The sequence below is a fragment of the Homo sapiens genome, chromosome 9, assembly GCF_000001405.40.
Source record: "Homo sapiens chromosome 9, GRCh38.p14 Primary Assembly".
NCBI classification, from domain to species: Eukaryota; Metazoa; Chordata; class Mammalia; order Primates; family Hominidae; genus Homo; species Homo sapiens.
Genome location: NC_000009.12, coordinates 32744171 through 32762042, shown reverse-complemented (window position 1 = coordinate 32762042; position 17872 = coordinate 32744171). Strand labels below are relative to the sequence as shown.

General features: G+C 40.3%; 2 long non-coding RNA genes across 8 annotated transcripts in view; one reads left to right on the top strand and one right to left on the bottom strand.

The window, feature by feature from the left end:
* Window positions 1–17872, top strand: part of LOC105376017 (uncharacterized) — a 104021-nt gene that overhangs the window by 21265 nt on the left and 64884 nt on the right. For all 6 annotated transcript variants that reach the window (XR_929559.2, XR_007061451.1, XR_929558.3 and 3 more), the window contains exons 3-4: window positions 817–985; window positions 14781–14849. This is a non-coding gene — a long non-coding RNA (uncharacterized LOC105376017). The remainder of the gene's footprint in view (window positions 1–816; window positions 986–14780; window positions 14850–17872) is intronic.
* LOC105376016 (uncharacterized) overlaps window positions 1–17872 on the bottom strand; it is a 28481-nt gene that overhangs the window by 5409 nt on the left and 5200 nt on the right. For both annotated transcript variants that reach the window (XR_929554.3, XR_929555.3), the window contains exons 3-4: window positions 16366–16432; window positions 16132–16270 (exon numbers count right to left, since the gene is read on the bottom strand). This is a non-coding gene — a long non-coding RNA (uncharacterized LOC105376016). The remainder of the gene's footprint in view (window positions 1–16131; window positions 16271–16365; window positions 16433–17872) is intronic.

Here is a 17872-nt window from a genome sequence, read left to right as displayed (position 1 = left end):
CAGCAGGCCTGTCTTCCCTTCTCACTTAGTGAAACGGCCATCTTTTTTCAGTCTTCAAATGAGGCGTTGTCCCAGATGATCTCTAAGGACCCTTTGAGCTCTGAGTATTTTATGATTCTAATATTTTAATCACTGTCAATGACACTTTCTGTTGTTACAAAGGATCTGTAAATTTCCCTGGGGTTTCACTGGCTGCAGTAGTGAGGTCCACTTGCTATAATATTACTGGACCAGCAGGCAGGTGCATCTCAGTGTTAGTCAACACTTTCCTGTTCTTCTCCCTCCTCTTTTTCTTCCTGGGTCTTCTCTCTGCCTTTCAGGAGGCTTATGTGGCTTAATTAACTCAGATCAGTCAAGTACTTTCAAGAGTCCAAGAGTAAAGTCAATGTCTTTCTACAAATAATAGCTCATTGGAAACTCAAGTCACTCACAGCATTATTAGCAGAAGATATTAGTCTTGCTGCAGTTACTTGAAGCCTATTAGTTCTAATGTGCAACATCAGCTCCTTGGAGAAAATCATGGCTCAGGGGAACTCACCTGAATTCCCTGAGTCCTTTGCATAAGGATTTGAAGGTGTGCTTAAGGCTGAGTGAAGGAATTGAGGGAGATGAAATGCCTTAAAGATATAACATGGATGTTTTTTGAAGGGGCCATACTCTGGTTGTGGAGAATTTTTTTAAAGGCGGGGTTTCTGTGAGTCTTAGGGGAAATGCCCTTCTCCAATTTCTGGTCTCAGGGGGTTGATTGATGGCAGAGGGTAGGAAAAGTCATTTAGACCCTAGAGAGTGAGGCAGTTTAACCGTCTCTGGCTTCAGCTCCCAGGAGCACACCGCGGCGCTAGAGAAGACCAGGAAAAAGGACCTGAGCCAGCTTGCCGTCTTAACAAAAATTTCAAACTTTGCAAAGCGGTATACCTTCTTATTCTCCAGTTCAGTATTGCCAGTGAAGTCATACTGAACGCAGACAAGGAAAAGAAAGAAAAAGGTAGGTCTGTGCACATTGTTTTATTTCTCTGTAGCCAGCCTTGTCCCAGGAAGACTTGTTTCTCATAAAATCCTGCCTAAGAATGGAATAGCTCCTAGCCTGCGAGGAGGGGGGACTCCTCGGGAAAGGCAAGTTCATTTCTTTTTCCCCATAAGCCTTGGTGAAGGGGAGCAATTTTGCCTCTGTCTGCCCTCTGTGGTCTTTTCCTCACTCCATCGCATCATATGAAAAGGAATATCAGGTCCAAAGTCAATGTAAACATTTACAAGATTCTGAGATGACCCAGGAAGCGTTTTTCTCAATGTAAGTAGGTCTGGGAACAGATCCTTGAGTTTTTAAAGACCCCTCCACGCTGAAGTTCAGTCTTTAGGCCCGGCCACCTTGGTAATTGTAATTTGCAGACATTGGTAGTGTTTTTCAGTCTTTTGATTCCACGGTGCTTGTTACTTACATGTATTCACATCAGCCCAAAACATTTCAGAGTTTTACTTTCAGTGGTGGTTACTGTGAACAAAAAGAAGTGGGAGTGTTTTCTCAGAGTATAGCCCTCCTCTCCTGTCCACTAGATTCTGAGAAGCCTTGGAAACAGCTTTAGCTTCAACTACTGCCCTGCTATGCAGGAGATCTGCGGCCTTGGGCGGGTTATAGATGCTCAGATCTTCTGTTTGTTTTTTCATCGGTAAGATGGGGAAAATAATATCTAATCCCTAGGTACCATGAGGGTCAGATGCGATATAAAATGCTGACTATATGTGAAGCTCTCAGCAGAGTGCTGGCCCATACCTAGGCATCTGCTGTGACCTGTGTGGGTGCCTCACCTGTCCTGGCAATGGGAGATGCTATAGTTTATTGAGTGCTTTTGATATTCTGGACTCTGTGCTAAGCACTTTACATTTACTATTTCATTCCCTCCTCACAGCAACCCTAAAGGTAGCACTATTAAGTCCCCAGTTTAGGAATGAGGAAACTGAGGCCTGGAGAGGTGGAGGAACTTGTACAAGGTCTTACAGTGAGTAAGTTGGACAGCAGAGTCCAAGTTCTTAATTTATTAGGTGTTGGTTGCTTTCCCCTCCTCCTCCATAACTTCCTGCAGGTCTTGGAGTTAACTTCCTCCAATTATGATTTTAAATCAGAGAAGACGGAACATTTGTAGATCACCTGCAGAAAAAGTCCATTCTGCCAAATTCTCAGTATCTTGTGATTCAAAATAGAGAGGCTGCAAGACACCTCAATTCATCACTCTTTGTCACCTTTTGCCCCTTTTGTTTCTGACTGACAGTTCCCATTTTAGCACTGAATCGAGGGCTTGGCAATACTATTCATGTCCAAGAACGAATTCAAGTGGTTTTGATTTAATTTTTATCAGAGTCTATTCTGAAAAGCCTGGGATACCTTGTGCTCCAGAAATTAACTTCTGGTAGCCACAATGAGAAGTACTGGAATGCTAAAGTGAAGCCAGTCAGGAGAAGTGCAGAGGTTACTAGAATCCCTCATGGGAATCCATGTTTCTTCAAATAACCTAGACAACATTTTGTGGGAGGTGTGATTCATGTTTTTACCCCCATAAAGTTTTAGTGATTCTAAAAGTGATATGTGTTTATTATGGAAAATTTGGGAGGCATAGAAAAATATAAAAAGAAAATTTATATTAATCAATCATGGTTCTACTACCGCTCTGACACAACCACTCATGGAGGTGTGGAGGTTTATTTACTTCTAGCTCTCTTTCCAATGGTTCTAATAAATAGTTGGGGTCTTTGTAATATACATATATATTTCCCTGTTTCTTATCTTGTAATGAAAACATTAAACTGTAAATTATTTGCAAGTATACAAATGAAAACTGTGATGCCTGCATAATATTGAGTCAAGTGGAATTGACATTTTAAAGAAGAATAAAATGTACCCTATGTTAACGGCCAGTCAGTTTAGAAATAGAATATTGCCAATATTTTAGAAAGCTCCCTTTGTGCTCCTACCTGATTGCATCCCTTTTTCATCTTGAAGGGTAACCACTATTTTTGAGAATATTATTTTCTTACTTTCAGCTGTGGTGGACCATTACTTTGGTGGCCCCCTAAATGAACCATGGCTCCCTCCATTCTGCCCTAGTGTAGTCTCCTCTCACAGTGACTTCTGAGTTTGTCCATATGACTTGCTTTGACAAATGGGACATTAACAAGCATGGAAGAGAGATTTAATAAGTGCTTGCACATTGGGATAAGTTTTTGGGGAATATTTCTTCTTGCAACCCTGAGACCACCATGCTATGAGGAAGCTCAAGCTAGCCAGGTGGAAAGCCCTCATGGATGAGATCTGAGGAACCTAGCTGAGAGCCAGAACCAAGGCCCCATACTTATGGCCCCAGTCAAGCTGTTCCAACCAGACCTGATATTTGAGGCAACCCAGCTGAAGCTCCAGACATCATGGAGCAGAGATGAGTGATTCTTGGTGTGTTCTGTGCAACTCCCTGGCCCATAGAATTGTGAGCAAATAGAATCATGGTTGTTTTAAGCCACTAAGTTTTTGTATGGTTTGTTATGGCAGCAATAAGTAACAGCACAACCTACGTGGGCATCCCTAAACAATACATTATTTAGTTTTGTCTATTTTTTGGACTTTATATAAAATAGAAAGCTACTATATATTTATTTTGGTGATTGTTTCTTCTGTTAAAATTATATTTGAGAGACATCTCCATGTTCTGTGCAATTGTGGCTCATTCATTTTATTTGATGAGTAGTGCTTCACAACTATTTATTCATTCTACTGCTGATGGACATGTGGGCTGTTTCCAGTTTTGGGTTGTCAGAAACAGTGTTACTATGAATATTCTTGTACATATCTCCTGGGGACCATGGGCAGGAGTTTCCCTAGGGTATATTCTTAGGTGTAGAATTGCTGGATTGCAGGATATACATGTGCACAGTCAACTTTATTAGACATTACTAAATTGTTTCCCAAATGTGTCTCCTTTTACTACTCCCACTAGGAGTGTATACAAGTTTCCACTGTTCCTCGTCTTTGCTGATAATTGGTTTTATCAGACTTATAAATTTTTGTCTATCTTGTAGTTATATAGTATCTCATTGTAGTTTTAATGCAGCTCCCTAATGACCAATGAGCCCCTTTTTATATTTATCCACCATTTGGACATCCTCTTTTCTAAATTGCCAGTTCAAGTATTTTGCCAATTTTTCTATTTAGTTGCTTGCCTTTTTCATATCAGCTGCTCTTGGCCAGGCACTGAGGCTCATGCCTGTAATCCAAGCACTTTGGGAGGCCAAGGCGGGCAGATCACGAGGTCAGGAGATTGAGATCATCCTGGCTAACATGGTGAAACCCCATTTCTACTAAAAATACAAAAAATTAGCCGGACATGGTGGCGGGCGCCTGTAGTCCCAGCTACTTGGGAGGCTGAGGCAGGAGAATGGCGTGAACTCGGAGGGTGGAGCTTGCAGTGAGCCGAGATCGCCCCACTGCACTCCAGCCTGGGTGACAGAGTGAGACTCCGTCTAAAAAAAAAAAAACAAAAAACAAAAAATGCCAAAAATCATATTGGCCATTCTTTATAGGTTCTAGGTATGCCTTTTGTTCCTTACGTGTGTTACAAATATCTCTTCTTCTTTTCACTATATTTTAGGGTGTCTCTTTGGGCAATTTTAATACCAGCAAATTTATCGGTACTTTCTTTTATAGTTAGTGCTTTTTATGTCTTGTTTAAGAAATCCTTTTCTACCCCATGGTCATGAGATATTCTCCTATATTTTCTTCTAAATGATTCTTTTAAATGATGTGATGGTAGGGACTTCATATATCTGGAGTTTGTTTTTGTGTATGGTAAGAGGTAGGAATTAATGTAGCATTTTCCCCCCCATGTATATCCAATTATCCCACCACTGGTTATTGAAGAGCTCATCCTTTCCCCGTTGATCCACAATGCTATTTTTGTTATGTGTCAAATGTCCATATATAGTGGGTCTGTTTCTGAGTTCTCTGTTTATTCTATTGGTGGCTTTGTCTATCCTTTCTTGGTCTTGATATCTGGCAAGGAAATCCTCTCATCTTATTCTTCCTTAAGAGTGTCTTGGCTAGTCTTTGTATTTCTGTATTAATTTGAGCATCAGCTTATTAAGTTTCACAACATATATGTGGGTTTTTGATCAGAATTGCATTAAATCTACACATCATTTGGATGAACATTCTACATCTATTTGGTTATTCTTAATGTATTTCAATAAAGTTTTTACAATGTTCTCTATTAAAGTCTAGCACATTTTTTGTTAGGTACTTAAAAATCCTATTGTAAATAGTATGTAATTTTTTTTCTTTGAACATATCAGAATACACATGATTTCTGTGTTCAAAGTTATGTGACTCTGGGAACAAGAGAAGGCAATTTAATAAGTGACACTTTGAAGTAAGAACAAGAAAGGTGACCTATGGAAACTTTTGGAAAATTTACTTATTTTTTGTGTGTCTATGGATAGGAATCATTTTTATTGCTATCAGTTATCTACAACTCGTAGAGTTGTAAAAATAGCTCAGACAATTAAAGGTGACCTCAGAGAATCAGATAAATGGGAAGGGTATGTTAATTTTTGATTTTTTTTTATTTCAATAGATTTAGGGATACAGTGGTTTTTGGTTCCATGGATGAATTGTAGTGGTGAAGTCTGGGCTTTTAGTGGACCACTCACCCGAATAGTATACATCGTATTCAATAGGTAACCCTCACCCTGCTTCCACTTACCCCTCTTTTGATTCTCCAATAAATTTAGGTTAACTCCATGAGCTTTGAGGTTTTAGTTACTTGTGTTACGATCGTAGTGATACGGGAGTGGGGCAGGAAAGTGCTGGGTAGAGAAAGGCGGGTCCCTGGCTAGGGGTCCATCCCCACAGACCTAGGTGAGGACAGACAATCCTGCTTTCACCCACAAATGTTGCATTTTCCAAGACCACCCTGGCCCGCCATGCCTCCACCCTGGGCCTATAAAAACCCGAGACTCTAGCAAGGCAGAGACACAGAAGCTGCTGGACGGTGAGAGGAACACGTTGACGAAGAAGACAAGCGGCTGGACAGCGAGAGGACGTTGAAGGGAAGAGCACACTGACAGACGCCGGCACCCGGCAGGCCATCCAACGGCGGGGACGAGGCGGAGTTTGGCCAGGGCGATCGGAGGAGAGCTGGGGCCACAGAGAGGCCCACCTCCAGGGGAAGACCATCTCCCTTCTGGCTCCCCGCATCGGCTGACAGCTACTTCCACTCAATAAAACTTTACACTCATTCTCCAAGCCCACGTGTGATCCGATTCTTCCGGTACACCAAGGCAAGAATCCGGGATACAGAAAGCCCTCTGTCCTTGCGACAAGGTAGAGGTTCTAACTGAGCTGGTTAACACAAGCCGCCCTGCAAACTAAAAGAGCAAAACTAAAGGAGCACCTTGTAACCCACGCCCACTGGGGCCTCAGGATCTGTAAACATTCACCCCTAAACACTGCCGTGGGGTTGGAGCCCCACAGCCTGCCCGTCTGTATGCTCCCCTAGAGGTTTGAGCAGTGGGGCACTGAAGAAGTGAGCCACAATCGCACACCCTGCGAGGGCGACAAGGGAACCTTTCCCCTTTCAATAGGCTTCCATCAGCCTCAGCTTCAGAAACACTCGACAGGTACGATTTTTCCCATTCATCTCATGTGGTGCTGTGGGAAAGGAGATGTGTTCCAGGACCCGCAGGTCCTCAGCACACCCAGCAGCAGCAGCGGGTGCCACCTATGCAGACCATATGGCACTTCTTTCCAAAACTGTTGCCTCACATAAAAATCCAACAAATATTTCTTAGGGATCTACATTGTGCTTAGTTTTGTGACTGCAAAACCAAATGATAAATAGTTTCTGCCCTTAGGGAATTCACCGTGTAGTGGAGAGGCAGAAGTATCAATAGGCTATTAACACTGAATAGGGAAAGAGCTAGAGAGAGATAAGTACAGAGTCCTGCAGGAGCTCAGAAAAGAAGGTGATTGTGTGAGGATGTTTCCTGCTTGCTCCTCCAGGCCTGCTCTCACCCTTCTTCACCCAGCATTCTGCCCTAGAACACTGGCTTGCGTGAGCTATGTCATTGGACTCCTTTGTCTCCCAGTCTCTGGCTGCACTTGTTCATGGGGCAGCAGTAGGTGATGGGAGGTGGAGGAGGAGAGTGAGGTGGGGTATTTATTCCCCTGGCTTCCCCTGCAGTGTGGCCTTGGGCTGGCCGCATCCCTCCAACAAGAACCACAGCTCCACACAAGGTGGCCGTCTCCATACCGCTTTCCTGCCAGTTCCAACAATCACTCTTCCCTTTGCTGTCAGGCCTCAGGTGGAAACAGCCCTCCTCGTAGCACGCTGGGTATGGCACTAGCCCTTGTATTTTCCTTATAAACTGCTTATACCTCTGTAAATAATCCTGTAGCAAATCTTTGCCAAATTATCCTTATTTCAGTGTGTCATTTTTTTCCTCCTAGGACCCTGACTAATAGGATGTCTAATCCTGTTGGGGCTATGGGCAGCATGGTGACCCAGCAGGGAGGCTTCATAGAGGAGGCGACATTAAGGTTAGGTTTTAAAAGCAAAACAGGATTTTGTCTAAAATTAGCCTTAATTTCTCATAATTCATAGGCAGTAGTTAAATTGAAACTTCCCCAGGGACAATCTCTCCATACTGTAAGTTTTCCTCATCATCACTGGTTCTCCATTTCATAAGAAAACCTTATTATGAACAAACAAAAAAGATTCCCCAATGATGGTAGTTCTTTTGGCATCCGTGGATTGAAAGTATTTTATAATGTAAAAAATTTCTTTTTAAAATGAATTCACATTTAATTAATCCCAGTAGCACACATGTAGATTTGAAAGTAGTACATATATGTGTGAAATTTTTTTTTTAATTCTGTCTGCAGATAATTCTTGGCTCATGTGTAAGTTTGAGAACCCTTTGAAAAAATTCTGTGTCCTCTCTCCTAGGGGTTCATGGCCAATGTCAGGAACCACAGATCTACACAGAGTGTCTATATCCCTCTTCTCTGCCACTGCACTCCTTCCTGTGCACAGGCTTCCATATCATCAAATATTAGAGACAGAAGGAGAACAATTTACCTGATCCAATCACTCTATTTTGTAGGTAAGAAAACAGAGGTGAATTTACATTTTCAAGGGACACGTAGCTAGAGACCAAGTCAAAAGGAAAACTTGGGTCCCTTGTCTCCTGGTCTAGAGTTTTGTCTACTATTAAAAATTGTCGTTATCACATGGTAACATTTTGTGTCAAAAATTCGATCTCCCAGTGGCCCCCAGATTGAACAGATGGTAAACATTTCCTTTCTCTTCCTGCCCTCCCACTCTTTGCTCATTCTAAGGCAGCGAGTCCTGGAATGGCATGGAGTCTGTTCTTAGCCAAGGGCTAATTCCTACATCACATGAATAGTGGGAGGGACTAGGCTTAGCCCACTCCAGATTAAGGGCAAGGGTGGTCATCTACTCCCCACCCCCAACCCAAGAGCCAGAGGAATTTAAGTTGGCCATGAGCAGAACAGACAGGGCCTAAAAAGGGAGGGAGCTCCTGAGCATGAGGGCAACTGGGTTGGCCTGAGATGCTCTAGATGAGACTATGGGTAGCCCTGTATGAACTGCCATTCTTGGGTCTGCAGAGGATTTCACAACTCAAGTGTACATGGTCATTCATCCCCATGATCCTGTCTGTGTTCTGTGAACAGGAGGGTAGATACTGAATCCCTGAGTCTCAAGAGAGGTGACCTGGCCAACAGCATCTGGCCTTGGAAGGCAAAATGTGGGGCCAGAACTCAGATCCCCTGACTTCTTGTCATCAACAGGATGTCACTATAGTAGAGTCTACAAGGTCACTTAAGGGCTTGAAGGTGGAGCTTTGCCCATCAGAGATAAATACATTGGCTCATTATGTTTCATTCCTGAAGCCAGAAAACAGATTTGACCCAGTCAGTGGTATAACCTTGAGTAGGAGGGCTCTAGCCAGATAGTGAGCAAGTTTAGAGGACAAAGGGGTCTTCACAATGAAAAGATCTGACTATTTTTTGCAATCAGAGGCATCTACAGACATTTGAAAACTGTTACAGCTCACTGAAAAATGAATAGCCCTTCCAGGAAATGCCTCTATTGTAGGGTGTTTCCCATGTAGAAAGAACTTGGTCTTATGGGAGTAGTAGTGAATGTTTATTGTTCTGTCTGCTGAGTTATGTTAGACATATAATTTGACTGAGATCTGATGTATTCTTATAGTTCTTAGTCTTCTGGTTACTGCTGATTGGCCAGAGATGAACATATGATCCAAGTGGAGCCAATTAGACTATCCATCCCATTGGCCACAGTGGATTTTCTGGGAATGGGCACCTGAGCCAAGATGAGTTAATGAAAATCCTTTTCTGGGATTATTTTTTCTTGAGTTGTGTCTGGTGACAAAGCTGGTGATAAGAGCCTGCTGCTGCTACTAGTCGCGTTTCTGGTGACTTCTAGAAGACTAAGAGAAAACTGACATACAGAGAGAGGCTGAAATAAAGGGTCAAGAGGGAGTCCTGGTTGCATTCTTGTCCTGGTTTTAGTTGACTTTCAGGCCTTTTTTTTTTTTTTTTTTTGAGACAGAGTCTCACTCTGTTGCCCAGGCTGGAGTGCAGTGGTGCAGTCTCAGCTCACTGCAACCTCCTCCACCCCTCTGGTTCAAGTGATTCTCATGTCTCAGCCTCCCGAGTAGCTGGAACTACAGGCATGCACCACCACACCTGGATAATTTTTTGTTTTTTGTTTTTTGAGCTAGAGTTTCACTCTTGTTGCCCAGGCTGGAGTGCAATGGCACAATCTTGGCTCACTGCAACCTCCGCCTCCCAGGTTCAAGCAATTCTCCTGCCTCAGTCTTCCCGAGTAGCTGGGATTACAGGCATGCACCACCATGCCCGGCTAATTTTGTATTTTTAGTAGAGACGGGCTTTCTCCATGTTGGCCACGCTGGTCTTGAAATCTCGACCTCAGGTGATCTGCCCGCCTCGGCCTCCCAAAGTGCTGGGATTACAGGTGTGAGCCACCTTGCCCAGCCAATTTTTGTATTTTTAGTAGAGATGGGATTTCACCATGTGGCCAGGTTGATCTCGAAGTCCTGACCTCAAGTCATCCACCTGCCTCGGCCTCCCGAAGTGCTGGGATTACAGGCATGAGCCATTGCACCCGGCCAGGCCATGTATTTTTATAATTCAGTTGTAGAAGTAAAACAAAATCCATTTGTCACTTGCAACTAAGAATGCTCACTAATTCTGATGCGGTTTAAAAGCTGTAATTTCTTGAAAGTAAACTTCACATCTTATTCATCTTAAAATCTCTAGTGTGCCACCACCACATGATTTTCTCTGAGTAGATCCAGAGGGATTTATTAACAAATATTATTTATTAAACTTCTCTTATCCCAGACCCCTAATGTATGTTGAATGTCTGTCTCCAGGTCTACGTAGGGAAATCCCTATAGTGAAACTTCTAGAGAACTGAGTGTAACTCAAGGAAACATCTTCTGTTTTAAGAAATGCCTTCAGAATTCTTGGCCTGGAATTGCTATTGAGAAGGCAGAGTAAGCCCTGGACAGGACCAAAGCCAAGTCAGGAACTCATCCCAGAAGTAGTTGGAGAGTTTGTCCTAGAAATTAGGGTTCTGAAATTCCCCCAGACCCAGGAGGCAAGGAGGCCATGACCTTTGTAAGGAAACCAGATCTTAGGGATATAACTCTTGGAGGCCTCAAGAGTTTTTAGCAGAGAGGAGTTTGGGGGTAGGAGGCAGAATAGGAGCCAAAGAGCCAGCTCCTGAGATTCACTTTCTTCTTAGCCTCTTCTCACATTCATTTGTTTGTTGGTTAGTTCATTCATTCATTCATTCATTCGTTCCTATGTCCTTGAGTACCTATTATGTGCCAGGCACTATCCCAGTGCTACTGCCATAGCTTCCTTTATATCCACTGTTGATGGATGGTGTCCACCGAGGTTCTGATCAGGCGGTCTGAGTGTGGCAGGGCTTCAGGAAGAACAGTCAGTCATCCTGTAGCAGGGGAGGTGGAGGTAGATGGGAAAGGGGCTTTGGAGAGGTATGAAGATAGCCAGGACTGGAGAAAATTCTGGAGATAAAGGAACACTCATTGAGGTGAGCCTGATATTTGAAACTGCTTTTCTCTTCCTTGTCTTGTCTTTTCTTTCTTTCTTTTCTTTTCTTTTCTCTTCTCTTCTCTTTTCTCTTTCTCTCTTTCTTTCTTTCTCTCTCTCTCTCTCTCTCTTTCTTTCTTTCCTTTCTGAGATGGAGCTTTGTTCTTGTTGCCTAGGCTAGAGTGTAATGGCACGATCTTGGCTCACTGCAACCTCCACCTCCTGGGGTCAAGTGATTCTCCTGCCTCAGCCTCACGAGTAGCTGGGACTACAGGTGCATGCCATCACACCCAGCTAGTTTTTTGTATTTTTAGTAAAGACAGGGTTTCACCATGTTGGCCAGGCTGGTCTCAAATCCCTGACGTCAGGTGATCCACCCGCCTCGGCCTCCCAAAGTGCTGGAATTACAGGTGTGAGCCACCATGCCTAGCCTCCTTCAAAGTATTTCTCTTTGATTCTTAAGTAGCAAGGACAAAGAACTTGAGAAACCAAGTAGAAAGTGACTTCTAGGAGGCAAAGAATTTGAGCAGAGCTTTTATCTGTTTCTTATGGCAGGGGAGATAAAAATCGGAGTTTAGAGCTATAGACACAGCAAAAACCTGAGAGGCCAAAAGCCTGCAGAAAAATGAGACAGTCTAAACCACTTATCTCCTGGAGGTATTCACTGACTTAAAAAAGAGGCAGTTAAGGGGCAAAGTTGCCAAACAGAGCTTTCTCACAATGGTGGGGAGATAAGAATTGGATTTTAGGGTTTTCCAAGGAGAAAAGGCCCTGAAAAAAACTCCAAGAAATTCTAGAACTGGAAAAATGCCCCTCTTAAACACTCCCCAAATGGCCTGAAATTAAAAACACAATAGATTAAGAATATGTAACAGCTATCTGAAGAAATGGTTATTTATCTGGAAGATAGATGAATATAAAATATCCAGACTGAAGCATACAGTGTTAGGAAAAAAATATAGAAAATACAGAAAAAAGCACAGGAGACATGGAACTAGGTGACAAGACCTAACACACATGTAACTGAAATACCTAAAGGAGAAAACAGAGAATGATTTAGAAGTAATATTTCAAGCATTAAAGGATGAAAAATGTACAAAATGGGTAGAAGGCATCAAACCATAGATTCAAGACATAAAACACAGTAGTATAAATACAAAGACAACCACATGTAGGAACATCATAGTAAAAGTTCTAATAGAGGAGAAATACAGAATAAATATTTGAGTAATTCAAAAGAAAGTAGGAAGAGAGAAAAAGGAACACAGAGGAGGAAGAACTAGAAAATAGTAACATGATAGATACAAATTCAAATGTGAGTAATTACATTAAATATAAATTGACATACATCAATTAAAAAGCAAAAAGAAATAGAAAAAAACCCCACAATTGTATGCTTCTTACTAAGAGACATACCTTGAATGTAAGGACTTGGACAAAATAGATTTTAAGGCAAGACGTATTAAAGATGACATTTTAAAGGGTTAATTTACCAGAAAGATACAATAGTTCAAGTTTGTATGAACCTAATAACATAGCTTCAAAATATGTGAAACAAAATCTAACAGTCCTAAATAGGGAAGTGAACAATCTTACAAATATAGTGGAAGATTTTAACAACTTTTCCCAGTAACATATGGAAGAATCAAACATCAGTAGAGATACAGAAAATTTAGAAAACTTAATCGATAAATTAATCTAATTTACATAATAGAACAGTGTATCCAGCAACTTCGGAACACATATGTTTTTCAAGTAAGTCTCAAAGAATCTTTTATTTTTACAAATCAATAACAAAAATAACTAGAAAATCTCCAAATATTTAGAAATCAAGTAATATACATCCAAATATTCCATGAGTCGAAGTTTCAATAGAAACTTGAAAATATTATAAATTGAATGATAATGAAAATATGACATACAAAATATATGAATGATGCTAAAACAGTGCATAGAGGAAAATTTTTGTCCTTAAATGTATATATTAAAAAAGGACTTAGAGCACATTATCTAAACTTTTATCTCAAAGAGTTAAAAAGGAACAACAAATTAAGAAGGTTGAATAAATGAAATAATAAAGATAAGAGTAAAAATGGAAAAGTCATAGAACAGAAGTCAACACATCTAAATGTCAGCTCTTTGAAAAATCTAATAAAATCAATAACCCCTAGCAAGATTAAGCAGCAAAAGAGAGGGAGAGGGAGATGGGAGAGCGGGTTGGGGGGTGGAGAGAGAGAGACAGAGTAAGCATGCAAATTACCATCATTGGGCATGAAAAACAGGATATCACTGAAGATCCTACTAAAGTTTTAAAAAAAGTTGGTATTATTAAAGAATTTATGTCACTTAACAAAAGTTCAAATGAATGAACAATTTCTTGAAAAACACATTCTTATCAAAATGGACACAAAAAGAAACAAATTCTAGATAGCCCTATAGCTATTTAAAAAATTAAATCTGAAAATTGCAGTCATTCCATATAGAAAACCCCAGGTCATATGACTTCCCCAGTGGACCCTTCCAAACATTCAGGAAAGAAAGAAAAACAATCTTATATAAATTCTTTCATAGAATTAAAGAAATAATCCTAGCTCATTTTATAAGGCTAGGATAATCTTGATGCCATAACCTAACAAGAATATTCATGAAAAGAAGAGTACAGGTCAGTATTCCTCATGAACATAAATGCAAAAATGCTAAACAAAAATTAGAAAACTGAATCCAGACATTGATTTAAAATTCATGCAATGTTTATAGAAACACAATTCGTGGTTGCAAAATCCTGGAACCAACCCAAATGCCCATCAATCAATGAGTGGATACAGAAACTGTGTGTATATATATATATACACGATGGAATACTACTCAGCTATAAAAGGCATGAATTAACGGCATTTGCAGCAACCTGGATGAGATTGGAGACTATTATTCTAAGTTAAGTAACTCAGGAATGGAAAACCAAACATCATATGTTCTCACTGTTAGGTGGGGGCTAAGCTATGAGGACGTAAAGGCATAAGAATGATACAATGAACTTTGGGGATGAGTGGGAGGGGGTGAGGGATAAAAGACTACAAATATGGTGCAGTGTATACTGCTCGAGTGATGGGTGCACCAGGATCTCACAAATCACCACTAAAGAACTTACTCATGTACCCAAATACCACCTGTATCCCAATAACCTATGGAAAAATAAAATTAAAATAAAATAAATGTAACATCAAAGTTGGGTTCAATCCAGGAATGCAAAGTTTATTTATTATTTGAATATGAATGTAATTCAACACATTAACAGATTGTCTCTATAGGCATTATAAAAACAATTGATAAAATTAAACTTTCATTCATGGTTTGAAAGGAAAACAAAACAAAACAACATCTTTGGGCAAACTAGAAGACTTGGTTAGTTTAAGCCTTAAGAAAAATCCCAATTTAGAATATGTTTCTCATCCTGGGATGTCACTGGAAAATGCTTTTATTATGAGCAGAACAGCATCCATGAGCCATTGGTAAAAATGTCCACAATTACAGACCAGTCATACTAATAGCTTCCTTTTATTGAGCATTTACAATGTGTCAGACACTGTGTCAATCCATTCTTACTTAATTCCCACAGAAACTCAATGAGATATGTTGTCATCTTCCCTGTTTTATGGATGAAGTTCTAAGTAGAGGTTCGGAGAAGGTAAGTAATTTACTCAAAATGGCATAGCCAAGGTTCAAAGAGATCTTTCTGACTTCAGAACCCAAGATTTTAACAAATGCAATTGCCAGGAAAATTTCCCATTGGCACCAGCATCTCTGTTTCTGTTTCTCTGTGCCATATTCCGGAAAGATGTACAGAAGGGTAAATCCACCACTGCTGTCTAGAGGGTCCTGCCCTGCTGCTCCACATATCCCTTCTCATAGCACCCTTTCGCTTGCTGTGACTCATTTTCTGTCCTTCTATTGAGATTCAGCAGGTTATGGCTGCTCAGGTGACAAATACAACTATGACTAAATCTATAAAGAGAGAACAAATTTGATGTCCAAGGCCCTATATTTGTGGAGTGTGTGGCGGAATTCCTCTATAGGAAAAAGAAACCTGTAAGTTTCTAAAACAGGCAGTTGGATGATAGAGTGGGCAGAGACAGTTTGACTTTTGATTCGTGTTATGCCTTTTCCCCACTTATCATTTTTATATTGTTTCTTGAAAAGAAAGTCATTCATACTAGCATAGTTATGAATCTTATCTTTGATTTATCCCTTGTATTTTCTATCAGACTTAGGATACCAGTTGTCTTTTCAGGAAGACACTGTCACTTTTAACATAAAATTCCTACATGTAGGAAGTTGGGACTAAAGATATCAGCAACTGCACAAATGGCCCTGTGTCTCTGTCTTATTTTTCAATGTCCTTTGCTCTCAATCCTGTATCACTTTTTATGTAAGAGGCTGTATCTCGAGAAGTAGGTTCTCAAGACCATACAAGGAGTCATAGCTCTAGGTTAGATTTCACCAAGATAGCTGGGAATTGAAGACTACAGGAGCTGCTGAACTGACACCATCTACCCTGCCCTTGTATCAGTGAAGGGCTCAGTAGCAACAATACATAGAAGAGAGGAAGGGAAGAGAAGGGTGGAGATAGAGCATGAGCCTTGGAATCGAGCAGACTGATTTGAATTCCAGCTCCACCGTTCAGTAACTCTATGAATCTTGGCAAATTAGTTTCTCTGAACCTTGATTCCTTTGCTGTCTTTGTTGTTGGTGGTAGTGCTTTGTGTGGATAATGAAACTTTCTGACATTCTATGCAATTTTTTGTATGTAAGTACATATGTGCTTCTCTTTCTATGGAGAGGATCCATTATTTTCATAATATATTCAAAAGGGGTCTCTGACCCCAAACAATATAATCACAGCTATAAGAAGACATAAAAAACAACTGCTAAATAAGTTCTTATGATTGCTATAAATAAGTGTTACCAACCTGTCAGCCAAACTTTTCGAAATGTTGAGGGCTCTCCTTCAAATACGTTTCCTTGACATCTGGTATCATTGGTACAAAAATGGGGGAAAGGTATACGTTCTTTTTCCCAACCCACATTGCTTTTATGTCTCAAATATCTCTGGAAGATACACACAAAAATTAATAACACTTTGCCTAAGGAGAGGAAAAGTGGGTGGCTGGGAGTTGGGAGTGGGAGGAAAAAATTTCACTTACTTTTATACATCCTTTTTCACTTTCTGAATTTTGAACCATATTCATTCATTATCTGGTCAAAAATAAACTTTAAAAATAAGAGAAAAAGAGTACTAAGAAAACTTTACAAGTGAAAATCAATATTTTGGTCTGAACTGTAAATCTTTAAAAATTCATTTTTTTATTTTTTATAATTTTTATTTATTTATTTTATTTATTTATTTTGAGACAGAGTCTTGCTCTGTCACCTAGGCTGGAGTGCAGTGGCACCATCTTGGCTCACTGCAACCTCCACCTCCCAGGTTCAAGCAATTCTCCTGCCCCAGCCTCCTGAGTAGCTGGGACTACAGGAGCATGCCGCCACACCTGGCTAAATTTTTTTGTATTTTAGTAGAGACGGGGTTTCACCGTGTTGTCCAGGCTGGTCATGAACACCTGACCTCAGGCAATCTGCCCTTGACAAATAACTGTACATATTTAGGAGGTACAATGTTTTAATATATGTTTATATCATGGAATGATTAGCTAATTAACATACTCATCACCTCGCATACTTATTTTTTCATGGCAAGAATATTAATAACCTACTCTTAGAAAACTTGACATGTATAATACATTATTATTAACTATAGTCACCATGCTGTGTAATAGCATGGTGAAACTTATTCTCTGAAACTTATTCCTCCTAACTTACTGAAACTACCCTTTGAATAACATCTCCCCATTCTCATCCCCCTTAATTCTATCCTCTGGAATGACAGTAGAATGGTCACCACCATTCTGCTCTCTACTCTATAGGTTTGACTCTTTTAAGATTCCACATACAAGTAAGATCATGCAGTATCTGTCTTTCTGTAACTGGCTTATTTCACTTGATATAATGTCCTCCAGCTTTATTCATGTTACTGTAAATGACAACATCTCCTTCTTGTTAAAGGCTGAATAGTACTCCATTGTGTATATATACCACATTTCTTTATCCATTCATCTGTTGATTGACATGTATGCTGCTTCTATATCTTAGCCACTGTGAATAATGCTGCAGTGAACATGAGAGTGCAGATAGCTTTTTGACATACTGATTTCAGTTCCTTTGGCTATGTACCCTGAAGTGGGATTGCTAGATCATGTGGTAATTCTGTTTTCAATTTTTGAATGATAAATTTTAATGACCATGACTGAATTGGCCAATTTAGACAAACACAAGAGTTTCTGGTTGAATGTATCTAAACAAACTCTAAGAATAACTAGAACTTGCTAGTTTCTTCATTTCTGATATTTCAGTATTCCCAATATTTCAGCTTTTGTGTTTCAAGTTGGTTATAAGGTTTGGGTCTAATCACCTTTGGTGGTTTTAAGAACTCTCTTTAAGACTCTCAAATTATTATGTTGGAGTTTAACAGCAAATACATCTGCATCCACGTTGGATGTCTGCTGAATTTTGTCCTAAACTCCAGGTATATAATATGTAGTCATGGCCCAGCCATCTCCTGATCCTAGCCTGTGATGTTTAGGCCTTCAAATTTAA